The sequence below is a fragment of the Homo sapiens genome, chromosome 22 (genome assembly GCF_000001405.40).
Source record: "Homo sapiens chromosome 22, GRCh38.p14 Primary Assembly".
NCBI classification, from domain to species: domain Eukaryota; kingdom Metazoa; phylum Chordata; class Mammalia; order Primates; family Hominidae; genus Homo; species Homo sapiens.
In genome coordinates this window covers 23,228,680-23,241,597 of record NC_000022.11, presented here as the reverse complement: position 1 = coordinate 23,241,597, position 12,918 = coordinate 23,228,680, and the positions used below count along the sequence as shown (strand labels likewise).

Genomic DNA, 12,918 nt, shown 5'->3' with positions numbered 1-12,918 from the left:
CTGACCAGAAAAGTCCCTGGGAAGAGGGTGGGAAGGGGCAAGACAGGGAAGATGGGTAGTGCCCTTCAAAGGAGGATGGCGTGGGAACAGTGCCCTGGTGTGGGAGCAGCATGGGGAGTGAGGTCTGAAAGTGACTGGAGGGAGTCCCTCCACACCAGCAAAGGTGCTCAGCCAGGATGCGGGCCATGGCCGCTGCACACCTGTGGGTCCTCCCTTCCCACTCACTGCCCCTCCAAAGAGGAAATACAGAGGGTTGGTCGGGGGGGAATGGCAGGAAGAGGGACTTCCCCCTGCTGGCGGTCACCACCCTGAGCCCGGGGCCAGGGCCCAGCCACGGGCAGACACCCAGCAAGCCTGGGAGGGCAGGCAAACCACCTTCTTCCCCCATCTCGGTCTTGGGCTGCCCCGCTTCTGAAGGATGCCTGGGGCAGGTTAGGAGAGGAGGTGCACATTCACCACATTCCCAGCAGCGCCATCCACAATGGCCAAGAGGTGGCAGCAACCCTAGCATCCATCAATGCATGAGTGGAAAACCAGAACGTGCCACATACATGTAAAGGAGTATTATTCAGCCTCAAAAAGGAAGGAAACTCTGACACACGCTGACTGAGATAGGCCTTGAGGACATTATGCTAAGTGAAATCAGCCAGGCACAAACAAACAAATACCGTAAGATTCCACGTATATGAGGTTCCTAGAGTAGTCAAATTCATAGAGACAGAAAGTAGAAAGGGGGTTGTGAGGTGCTGGACAGGAGGGGAGGAGGGAGTTAGCGTTTAGTGGAGTTTCAGTGTGGAGAATATGAAAAAGTTCTGGAGATGGACAGTAGTGACAGGTGTATGATAATGTGGATGTACTGAATACCACTGAACCGCACACTTAAAAATGGCTAAAACAGTACATGTTATGTATATTTTCTTTTTTTCTTTTTCTTTTTTTTTTCTTTTTGAGACAGTCTCGCTCTGTCACCCAGGCTGGAGTGCAAGTGGCACTATCTCGGCTCACTGCAAGCTCCGCCTCCTGGGTTCACGCCATTCTCCTGCCTCAGCCTCCCGATTAGCTGGAACTACAGGCGCCCGCCACCACGCCCGGCTGATTTTTTGTATTTTTAGTAGAGACGGGGTTTCACCGTGTTAGTCAGGATGGTCTCGATCTCCTGACCTCGTGATCCACCCGCCTCAGCCTCCCAAAGTGCTGGGATTACAGGCGTGAGCCACCGCGCCCGGCCTATGTATATTTTCACACATAGACAGACACACACACACACACACACACACACACACACACACACACACGATCAGCCAGGCTCTGAAATTTAAAACAAAAGAATAGAAGTACAGTTTTAGGGGCTAAATTGTGTTCCCTCCTAAATTCATATGCTGAAGTCCTAACCTCTAAACTTATTTGAAAATAGGGTCTTTACCAAGTTAAAATGAGGTCATTAGGTTAGGTCCTAATCCAATGTGACTGTGTCCTTTAAAAAAGAGGTGGCCTGGCGTGGTGGCTCATGCCTGTAATCCCAGCACTTTGGGAGGCAGGATCACTTCAGGCCAGGAGTTCGAGACTAGCCTGGACAACATAACAAGAACGTGTCTCTACAAAAAAATATAAAAATTAGCCAGGTATGGTGGTCAAGTGTAGTTTTCAGCTACTTGGGAGGCTGAGGTGGGAGGATCACTTGAGCCCAGGAGGCTGAGGCTACAGTGAGCTATGACTGCGCCACTGCACTGCAGCCTGGGACTGGAGCCAGAGGGAGACGCTGTCTCTTAAAAAAAAGTGGGGGTGGGTGGGTGGAATTTGGATACAGACTGGCATATAGGGAGAATGTCATGTGAACTTGAAAACTGCCACCTATAAGGATCCAACCCAGCCAACATCTCAATCTCATATTTCCAGTCGTCAGAACTGTGAGATGATAAATTTCTATGATTTGGGCTGCACAGTTTGTGGTTCTTTGTTACGCAGCCATAACATACTATTACATGAATGAAGTCATTGTGGAGCTCAGACACCAGCACTGAGGAGCTGCCCACATGCCAGGAGTGCCCACAACACCCATATCACTGCCACATTCCAGACTCAGAGTGGCAGACAGAGGGGAAGAGCAGACACCAAGGCCCACAAGGTCAGAGTAGGAGGCAGCCCAGGGCCTTGCCCCCTTCAGCCACACAATGTATCCGTGCTCTCTTGGGCTCTCCTCTTCCAGTGCCGGGCACCTGCTCAGAAGCTAAATTATTACAGATTGACCCCAGACTCTCCTGCTAGAGAACAGACCAGAGCCACCTGAGTATCCTATGCTTGTACAAATCAGAATAGAAACCCAGTCACGTTCTGAATGTCCTGCACAACACTGCCAGCCAACCAGCCCCTCCTGAAGCTGCGCTCCTTCCTGAGCACAGCCCCTGCACTTTCAGACTCTCCTTCCCACACAGGGCCTGAGGGGCTTTGCTTTCCTCCCCTCATCCAAGCTGACAGGTGGGCTTCCATGCAGATAAGGAAACTGAGGTACTAAAGCGACAAGCTGGGCAGGACCAGAAGAGCCCAACGCTGGAGACAGACTGAGAAGGTGCCTATGAACCCTGCTGGGCCCACACATGATTCCATAGCCTGGGTTCTTTCTGTTGAGAAAAAGAAGGAAATGGCCCAGAGGAGAGTTTGAGGCCTGACCCGACCCGACAGAGGACAGTTTGAGACTCGAACCAACCCCGCCACCTGCCCCCCACCCCCCTTGCAAGCTGCAAGCCACATACACACACAAAAACCACTCGTGTTCCCACCGGCCCTGGAGGGGTATAGCTCTGGGTCAGTCCTGGGGGTAGTCTGTAATTCCCACCCCCGGCCTAATCCTGGGTCACCCTGATCTATAGTGCTCCTGGAAGGCTTATGGGGTTGTGGATGCACAGGTGTTCAGGACGCCAGCCTGAGTCAGGGCCAGGGGTACAACATGCAGAAATGGCAACAGGTACGGGCCAGAAGTGCTGCCTCGAATCCCCAGGCCTCTGCAAGGGAGCCATCAGTACCCCATTTTACAGATGAAGGTTGAAGGTTTGGACGTGGAACCAACATACCCTGAGCTCCACAGCTAAGAAGGAGGATCCCCAACTTCAGGTATCCTGGGGGGCTGAACTAGGGGTGAGCTGGGGCAGGGGAGTGACGTTTTGTATTCTCCACCAGAATTTAAGATGTTCCAGGTGTGGGCAGATGTCAAAAGCCTGAGGAACAGACCGGGAGGTGGCACGGTCTCCAAGTCTAAACTCAAATGGATTTTCCCCCGGAAAATCTGTGCACATGGATTATGTGGCCAGGAACTCTTCCATTCTTAAACAAGTATTTGGAAAAGGAAATATAATTCCCTCTGTTCCCAGCTTCCCCCACCCTACCTCCAAGGCTTTCTTCGATCATCCCCCTTAAAAAACAAGACAATAAACCAACCAGGATGACCGGGATGACCAGAGGGCCCAGGGGCCTGCAGATGAAACTCCTCGTTTCATCTCTCAATGTTCCCACCAATGAAATGGGGATAATGACACTCTCCACCCACGCTCCCTGCGAGGTGTCAAGCAGGCCCCATCAGAGGGAGGAAACGGCACTGAGAAGCACAAGCATCACTTGTCATAATTACCGGAAGCCTCACCTGTTCACGCACTCCCACCTGCAACATTTAGCAGCGCACTCTTTCGCTCCTTTCCAGAAAAACCTTATGACCTCCTCTTGCCTGGCTTCTGGGGGATGCAGTGTGAGGCTGAGGGCTCCACTTCAGGAAATCTGGCAGAGCCATGTATCTGCTCAGGCCACTGCAGGTCAGCGGGTGACCCTAGCATGGCAATCTGGTCCGTCTCATCCACTACAAAGGCCAGCCAGGGCTCTGGAAGCCGGCCTTCACGCCGCCCGTCTCAGCAGCCCAAAGCTGACCCACTGCAAAGGCCACCACCCTGACTTCCACATTTCTCTTCTCCAGCAAAAATCAGGCCAGAGCAGAGCTTTCCTTACTCCCCTGGGGCTGCAAACTCTGCAGGCCACAGAAAACAGCTGAGGAACGAGCCAGAAAACCAGCCGGCAAGGATCTCTCTGTCCAGATGCAAGAGGAGAGAGAGGACCCAGCTCTTGACCTGAAACTCGAAACTGTCATGTGGGAATTACCACCCACGGTGATAATCCCAGCTGTCATTGTGGGTGTGACAACCTGGTCCAGATCCCACCTGTTACTCCCAATCGGCCAGGCTCGGGAACCAGGCCCAGCTCCTATCCTGCTTCCCCAGGGGGCCGTGGGAGGAGGTGAGATTCACACGCCCAGCCTGCCTCCATGAGCACAGCTGCTAGACACCCGCTCCGGGAGCCAACTCAGCCACCTGCCAGCCCAGCCAAATGAGCAGATCCTGATGAGGACTGTGGTATGCTGCATTCTGAAAGCACCTCCTGGGAAAAGTGAGTTCTGCAGAGATTCAACTCACAAACAGGGGCGGCGTGGCTATATCACCATGCCACTGCAGACACGCCAGGAAAAGGCCTTCCTTCAAGAACTCCACGATCCTGGGAGAACCGTGGCAACCGGAAAGGCTCTCAGAGGTATCTGACGCCGGTTCTGAGCCTGGCACTTCTTCTGGAAAATCCTCAGGTGGAAGAATAACAGCTTGGCTCAATCAGGTCACCCTGCCCAACACTCTTGCCTCCACAGCTACCCCCTGCCAGAGCCAGCACAGGGCTGGCAACTGACTCGGGTACTATTCAAGACACAGAATTTGTTCACGCTTCCCAGACAGGCCAGTAGAGAACAAGGCTGATTCCTGCTCCTTGCTTAACAGACAGACCCCAGCTGACTGCCTAAAGTTACTGTCCCAGCCTCTTTACCTCCAGGGCAGGCACCTGCCAAGGAGAGCAACAGACACCCAGTCACATCCCACACCCAGGCCAACGTCAGGAACACAGCAGACATCTAACAGGTGTTGGTCCCCTCTCGGTCCTCATGAGGGGAACCCAGACCCACTGGGCTCTGCCCACATGACTCCTCCCTGTATTAAGTGCTTTGTATCTTGGCTAGTAGGTGTGCGTTGCCCTGTTCTCGCCTGAATCCCACCTGAGCCATGCTCTCCTCTTGGCTGGAAGATGGGGACTGTACCAGGAAAGCCTGGGATGTTCAGAAAGTTGGAGTGGTCTATTAGGACAAGTGGATTCACACCACTCTCCTCACCTGTTGAGCCCCTTCCAAAGAGGTCTCATAAGTCAGCAACACAGCAGCAGTGCAGACAAACATCCCCTGGCGCCCTGTGCTGCTCAGTCATAGAGTGCGGCAGGGTGGAGATGAGGCTGCAGGTGGGGAGGAGGTAGCCATGAGATGCTCAGAGTCACCTGAGACCAGATGCCAGGGGTTTGAGGAACCTGTCTTAAGCAAGTAGCTCTTCTCCATGAAACAGAAGGTACGTGGAGGCCACCTGGCTGGCTGGTGTGCAGGAGGTGGCACCCAGAGGACCTCAGAGCTGGGTTAACAAGCCAGGCCTCCAGCCATGAGTCACACCAGCCCCAAGAGAGTCAGCTCCCATATGCAAGGTCCAGCAGCTTTGGAGATGTGGGGGTGGCACTCTGAGATGCCCCTTACAGCACACAGAATAAATGTTCACATCTCTGCAAAATTCCTATGTTGAAATCTAACCCCCAATGTGATGGTATTTAGAGGTGGGGCCTTTGGGGGTGATTAGGTCAGGAGGACGGAACCCTCATGAAGGGGATTAGTGCCCTTTTGAAACCCCAGAGACAGCCCCCATCCTTTCCACACCAGGTGAGAACACAGCAAGAAGATGGCTAAGAACCAGGAAGTGGGCCCTTGGCAGACTCCAAATGTTCCAGCTCCTTGATACTGACTTCCTGCCTCCAGCACTGTGAGGAGTAAGTGTTTGTTGTTTAAGGTACCCAGTTTATGGCATTTTTGTTATAGCAGCCTGAAGTGACTAAGACACCCCTCCTTGAAAAAATCTGACATGCACACCCTCATATTCTGAGATTCCATGACTCACCTGGGACATAAACATGTCCCTTCCTCTCTGCAGTCCCCACATTATGCCGTGGAACACATGGGCCTGGACATCTATGTCCTCGCCACCCAGTGGGAATATACATCTTTCTCTTAATCAGGGAGGCACTTAAACGCTGCTTACTCCTAACATTGTGCCCCAGAGGGCAGGGCAACAGCACAGCTGCTTTCAGGGAATTCGGAACTTGGAGAAGGCCGGGCATGGTGGCTCACACTAGTAATCTCAGCACTTTGGGATGCCAAGGCAGGCGGATCACTTGAGGTCAGGAGTTCGAGACCAGTCTGGCCAGCATGGTGAAACCCCGTCTCTACTAAAAATACAAAAATTAGCTGGGTGCATGCCTGTAATCCCAGCTACTTGGGAGGCTGAGGCAGGAGAATCACTTGAACCTAGGAGCCAAGATCGTACCACTGCACTCCAGCCTGGGTGACAGAGCGAGAGACTCCATCTCAAAAAAACAAAACAAAACAAAAAACCCCACAGAACCTGGAGAAGACCCAGGAGGTGAAATGGGAACTGGGTCATAGTCTCGAGCTGACCCTGGTTTTCACCCTCACTGTGGCTGAGAAATCAAGAGTGTGAGGGACAATGTGTGGCCACAGAGTCGGGGGAGGAGCCTGACTCCTCTAAGCATGGTAGGGCTCTGTCCATACAACACATGCCCCTCTACTCCCCAACTTTCCTGTAGGCTCCGGGTGGCCCTTGGTGTCTGGGCCCCGAAGACTGTCCAGCACACGGGTTCGGCCCTGGTCCCACGGCTCCAGCTCACACACACCCCCGCATCAGGGCCCACGACTGGGGAGTCTGGAGCTCATGGCTTCGCACAGTCCCCTCATGCTCGCTGCGACCTGATCAGCCTGGGTCCCCTGGGTGCTCCATTCTGGGCCTCGGCTCACACCTTCCCCATCCAGATGGCCTCCCTGAGTCTTGGCCCTCCCAGTTCTTCACAGCCCACCATTCTGATAGCCCCATCCCTGCTGTGACTTAACCTGACCACCCTCCTGGGCTGCGGGATGCTCTCCCAGGTGCTTTCTCCCACTCACCGTGTGTAGGGTCCTCCTCGACACTCCACCTACGCTACAGCCCATGTCCAGGCACCAGTCCCCTCAAAACTTCTCATAAGCTCCTTAGGACGGGCTGGAGTCTGGTCCCTCCTCAGGCCACTGATCACCCAGAACCCAGGGACCATGGGTTCTGTAGAACACACTTATTCAACGCATGGGGCCACCCCAGGGCCCAGATCTAAATAAACAGATGAAGTAAATAACTTCACATTCACATAACCACTGGTTCCTCGGACTTGGGAGTGACAGAGGTCAGGGTGGCCAAACTGGGTGCAGACAAGGATCAAACACACAGGGTCGCAGAAAAACACAACTCAAGGCAAGCTCCCCTCCTTTACTAGCTGATAGGACACATAATAGAATTTCTGTTTGCTGTCTCCGGAGAGTCCAGCTGCACATGGTCTCTGTAAAAATGCCAGAAGAAAATGCTCATGCACACGCCATTAATGACACCCCCAGAGGACTCGGCCTGGGGCTCATCACATCTGCAGGGTATACAGGCTGAGCTCATTTCTGAGTCACAAAACCCAGAAGTGATGTTTTTGGTCAGCGACCACCCAGAGAGCCTCCCACACCCTGGCACTCTGCCCACTGACATGCCCTTGTCCCTGGCTGAATATCTGATTCTCCATGGGCCCCTGGCTGGCACGCCTCCCTGGGCAGGTGAAGTCACCATGTTCTTCTTTTTTTTTTTCTTTTTTTTCTTTTTTTTTTTTTTGAGACAGGGTCTCGCTCTGTCACCCAGGCTGGCGTGCAGTGGTGTGATCTCAGCTCACAACAACCCCCGACTCCTGGGTTCAAGCGATTCTTGTGCCTCAGCCTCCTGAATAGCTGGGACTACAAGAGTGTAAGCCCCCACACCTGGCTAATTTTTATATTTTTAGCAAAGACGGGGTTTCACCATGTTAGCCAGGCTGGTCTCGAACTCTTGACCTCAAATGATTCATTTGCCTCAGCCTCTCAAAGTGCTGGGATTACAGGCACGAGCCTCCATGCCTGGCCTCTTCTGAAGAATGTGAAGACCCCAGGGCCAGGCGTGCACCACGTGCATATACAGAGCCAGGCATTTTACACATACACCACAGAAGGGAGCCTCATGTTTTAGGAAGTCGGTGTGGGGAAGCAGTGGTGTCTCTTCTGTTTCCAAACGAGAACAGCCTGTCACCACCGGGCAGAGAAGCAACGCAGGCTGCTTCCACCAGGAGAAAGGCCGGCAGGAGTGGCGTGGAGATGCTGCCAGAGCCTGGAGCCTGCAGAGGCTGCTCAGGAAGCTCGCTCCAAGAACCGAGCATCCAGGCAGGAGATGGAACTACAGGCACTGGGGCCCACAGGGGACTCTGATGTGGATGCTCTGTATAGGCTCTGCCTGGAGATGCCAAGGGGTCCCAGGACACAACAGAAGGCATAGAAGAGCCTCAGAGGGCAGATTTTCTACAGGATCCCAATTGTCTGGAAAGATGCTTCTATCCAAAGCTCTGGACCCAAGTCCAGGCTGAAGCTATTAGAGCACCTTTTCTTCCCTCAATGCGATCCCCCACCTCGCAGAAAAATGTCTCAGCCTATGTGTGTGCACACACAGATGTGGCATTTGCATTTACCCAACAAAGCCTAACCCAGCTTCTCTCTCATCTTTGCCAAATGGATCCAGAACAGGGGCTCCATGGTCTGGCCTGACCACATCAGGCCTTCTGACTGCTACAGATGGTTTGTAAATAAGGCCTTCCTACATGAATGCGACACGGCAGCATTCATTCCATCTCTCTGATCCTGCCATCTCACCTGAAGGAGGAGGCAGATGGGGCCGCCCATGCTCACGGGTGCAGCAGGTAGGCTCGCTGATAAGCCACAGAAGCCAGTGAGCATCCCAGCTGGGCCAGAACCTGGATCTGCAATAGGCTCTGTTGGACCCCAGGGTCCTGCCTTTCCAGGTGGGGAACCCCACCAAGATGCTGGTCAGGTAAAGGGTGGTGCTCTGGGTCCTGTCTCCAACCCACTCTGGTGCACCCCCCACTCCCAAAGAGCCAGGCACCCTCTCTGACAGGCCTGAGGTCCCCCTACCCTTGTGCCAGTAGTGCTGCTGGCTCCCAAGCAGCAGAATTCATGAGCTGGGCAGTGCAGACCTTGGTTCAAACCCAGCCCTACCACTGCCCAGGTGGGTGACCTTAGCACGTTACTTAATGTCTCTGGGACCCAGGCTTCTTGTCAATAAAAAGTGGATTCGGCTGGTCAGCCAGGACACCCCGAGTCCCTGTGAGGTGCTAGGCACCGTGCTTTACAGCACCCAGAACAGTGCCTGCCTAGAGCACTTGGGGTCCTGGGTCCTATCATCCCTACTGGGCCAGGAGCTCTAAAACCAGCAGGCCCTGTCCTTGGCCAAACACTGGGTCTCCAGGCTTCCAACAACCATGGAAGCAAGAAAGCAACAGAAAATTAGAGGATCACACTAAGGTATTAGTTACTACATGGAGAGCAAGCCCCTGGGCTGGGAGGCTGGAGAGACAAGACAGGGCAGGGCCTGAGGGATGAGCTGCCTTGGGACAGGCTGAGGGTACCCAAAGTTAACAGGCAGGCAAGACAGGGCCAGGGGAACCAAGGAGTGGAGCAGGGCCAAGAAAGAGAACAGGAAGACCCCAAAGCCTGAGACGTGCCACCCCCCAACACCTGCAGCTCCAAACAAAATTCTCCCACTAAAAACGGGGCATAAAGGTTGGGCGTAGGCACGGGTGGGGACATAACTCACAGGCCCATTTGCTCCATGAGCCTGGCCAGATGGTGCCCAAGTATCCAGGGAAGGATGAACTTCACATTCCTGTAGGATTCCATGCCTCCTCCACACAAGCTGGGTCAGGGAGGGGCAGCCTAAGTGGCAGGCAGAGCACAGCCAGCTCAGGCATGGCCCAAGTCCATGGGCCTTTTAACACCATGGCTCCAGCCAGCACAGGCTGTTGGTATTTTATTTATTTTATTTTATTTTATTTTATTTTATTTTATTTTATTTTATGAGACGGGGTCTTGCTCTGTTGGCTAGGCTGGAGTGCAGTGGCATGAACATGGCTCACCATTGCCTCAAACTCCTGGGGCTCAAGCAATCTTCCTGACTCAGCCTCCTGAATAGCTGGGACTACAGGCGTGCACTACCACATCCAGCTAATTTTATTTTTTTATAGAGACGGAGTCTCACTAGGTTGCCCAGGCTGGTCTCAAACTCCTGGCCTCAAGTGATCTTCCCGCCTTGGCCTCTCAAAACACTGGGATTACGAGCAAGCCACCATGCCCTGGTCTAATTTTAGAAAGGCACCCAGGTGTCCCTATGCAGCAGCAGAGGAAGGGAATTGTCTCAAAAACAAAATCCCTTCTTTCCCATTAGGAAAAAAGGGCAGCTTCCATTTCCCGAGCATCTACCACATGCCAAACTGTTTACTGCTAATCCCAACACAGCACTATAAGGTTTCTACAATAACTCTCATTTGATGGAGGGGGAAATAAGACACAGAAAGAAACCATAACTGGCCTGGTGCATGGTGAGGGTGAGTCGGGCCCCGTTAGATGGTTCGGGATACTGTGCCCTCTACTCCACCTGTGGCCCCGGGGCCACATTCCCTGAAGGAACGCTATGTGTCCAAAACAACTGCGTGGGATGGGTTCTCTAGGAAATGACAGCTGGATGTGCGGCTGGGGAGCAGGCTGGTGGCAAGTGAGGCCTGGCATGCAGGACAGGCAATGTTTGGGATCTTCTGGACATTTCCAAAGATCTTTATGCACCAGTGGCCTGAAGGCTTTCTCTCCCTGGAAATGCAGGCAGGCCCTTCAGTGAACATGCAGATGGCCATGCCTACCCTGCAAAGACCATTAAGACAGAGACAATGGAATTTGATAGAAGGGTCTGAAGCAAAGCAGACAATGAGCAAACCCTGGGACACTGCTGAATAAACCAGCAGGAGGCAGAGAGAGGTGCTTTGCCTGGAAAAAACAAACACCAGGAAGGCCCAGCAGGCAGGCCTGCATCCGCAGTGTGTGTATCAGCTTAGCCCTGTTGGGGCGGGGGTCTTGGGAGGGGCCGCAGGAAAGTTACTGGGTGGGCTGAGGTGATCAGTATGGGCCACCACCCTCAGAATGCTGTCTAAGGGCAGTAGTGGTCTATCCCAGGGAACATCACCACACACAGAGAGAAGGACGTCTAAATGTAGAAGTTGGAACTTCCAATTCCAGGCAAGATGGAAAAAGCACACTACAGCCTTTCCCACTATCCACAGGTACAAATTCTGCATGAAACCTCTATCATGGGACTCAAAAAGGTAGATAAGGGCAGGAGGACTGAGCAGAGATTGCAGGACTTTAAGGACACCTTGGCAGTGATTTTTCTGGTTTTCCAGTTTTTGGAATTTTGCCTCCCAGCATGGGCACTAGAGTAGCTTGAAACTACCAACAGGCACAGACAAGAGGAAAAAAAAAAAAGAACCAAACAGAAAAGCTTGCTCTCTCTAACCAAAAGCCCAGGAAGGAGAAATCCTGTAGATTGAACTCTTTTGGCTTTATCCACCTTTCCCCAGCACAAACAACGTGTCCATTCCTCTCCCCACAGATGCAAGCAGCGGCCTCCCTGGGGTGGAGACCCGTGGACTCTTTCCACTCTACACTAACCAAGCGCCACCAAATAGGTGAAGCCCCTGCCCCCTTCACCAGCACAGCAACAGTGGACCCTCAGGGGGGAACTGCCTTCTAATCAGAACACCTGAAAGGGGGGACATGGGGAAGTAGAGAGTATAGGGAAGATCATGGAGAAGAGGGAGCTGGAGAAGGGATCCTTTAAATCTTCATAAGAAGCCCTGGGCTCACCCCTAAACTGCACATGTGTGAAAACACTTAGAATCAGCACAGCACAGATCACTGCCCAGTTTCAAACTGATCCCTCAGTGGTCAACAGCAGGGTGGATACCGGAACCACAGAGCTGAGAAAGTGAGCCAGGATATGCCATCTGAATCTAACTGGGTTGACTGCCTGTTTAAAAAAAAAAAAATCAGTCAACATTTTCAGAACATTTAAACAGGGTCCGGAGTCTCATAATATTACACTCAAGATGTCCAGGATATAACCCAAAATTACTTGACAGAGAACTAAGCAACATAAACTGTGAAAGGAAAAGGCAATCAACTAACATCAACCCCAAGATGACCCAAATGTTTGAATTATCAGACTAAGACTTTAAAGCAGCTATTATAACCATGCTCTAAGAAGAAAGGACAAAGACTCTTGAAACAAATAAAAAGACAGGCCTTCTCAGCCAAAAAAAATAGAAGCTATAAAAAAGAACCAAATAGGAATTTTAGAACCAAAAAATAAACAATTACCTGGAGGGGTTCAACAGCAGAATGGAGATGACAATGGAGTCAGTGAACTTAAAGATAGATCAATAGAAATTATCCAATCTAAATAAGAGAGAGAAAACAAAAATGGAGAAAAATGGAATAAAACCTCAAGCATCTATGGAACAACATCAAAAGATGTTGATGTCTAATTTCATGTCCCAGGTGTCCCAGAAAGAGAGGAGAGATGGAAGCAGAAAACAGTATCGGAAAATACAATAGCTGAACACTTCCCAAATTAGGGGAAGAACATAAATTTACAGACCCGAGAAATGCAGTGAACCCCAAACAGGATAAAGAAAGAAAACTACAGCCAGACATATCATAATAAAAGCACAGAAAACCAAAGTTAAAGAAAAAAGTCTTGAAAGCAGTCAGAGAAAAACAACATATTACATACAGGAGAATAAGGATTCACGTAACTGTAGATTTCCCATCAGAAACTATAGAGGCCAGAAGAGGAT

The 12,918-nt window shown here is 51.9% G+C and overlaps 1 protein-coding gene across 2 annotated transcripts in view, besides 4 other annotated features; it reads right to left on the bottom strand.

Annotated features, from left to right (window-relative positions):
* Nucleotides 1-3,334: part of a meiotic recombination region, noted in NCBI's record as "this region was identified as a recombination hotspot within the HapMap CEU and YRI populations", that runs on past the window's edge. NCBI's record gives the evidence for it as "EXISTENCE:nucleotide sequencing assay evidence [ECO:0000219][PMID:20981099]".
* The window catches only part of BCR (BCR activator of RhoGEF and GTPase), a 137,529-nt gene that overhangs the window by 76,440 nt on the left and 48,171 nt on the right, over nt 1-12,918 (bottom strand). The window lies entirely within an intron of this gene.
* Nucleotides 1-12,918: part of a mitotic recombination region, noted in NCBI's record as "BCR-ABL minor-breakpoint cluster region recombines with the ABL minor-breakpoint recombination sub-region within the ABL breakpoint recombination region, producing the e1a2 transcript", that runs on past both edges of the window. NCBI's record gives the evidence for it as "EXISTENCE:nucleotide sequencing assay evidence [ECO:0000219][PMID:20703256]".
* Nucleotides 516-565: an enhancer, noted in NCBI's record as "active region_18751". NCBI's record gives its function as "activates an Ori minimal core promoter by ATAC-STARR-seq in GM12878 lymphoblastoid cells {active_cell/tissue: GM12878}" and the evidence as "EXISTENCE:reporter gene assay evidence [ECO:0000049][PMID:35858748]".
* Nucleotides 11,503-12,237: an enhancer, noted in NCBI's record as "H3K27ac hESC enhancer chr22:23571548-23572282 (GRCh37/hg19 assembly coordinates)". NCBI's record gives its function as "activates a minimal SCP1, AML or CMV promoter by ChIP-STARR-seq in naive H9 embryonic stem cells {active_cell/tissue: H9 hESC(naive)}" and the evidence as "EXISTENCE:reporter gene assay evidence [ECO:0000049][PMID:30033119]".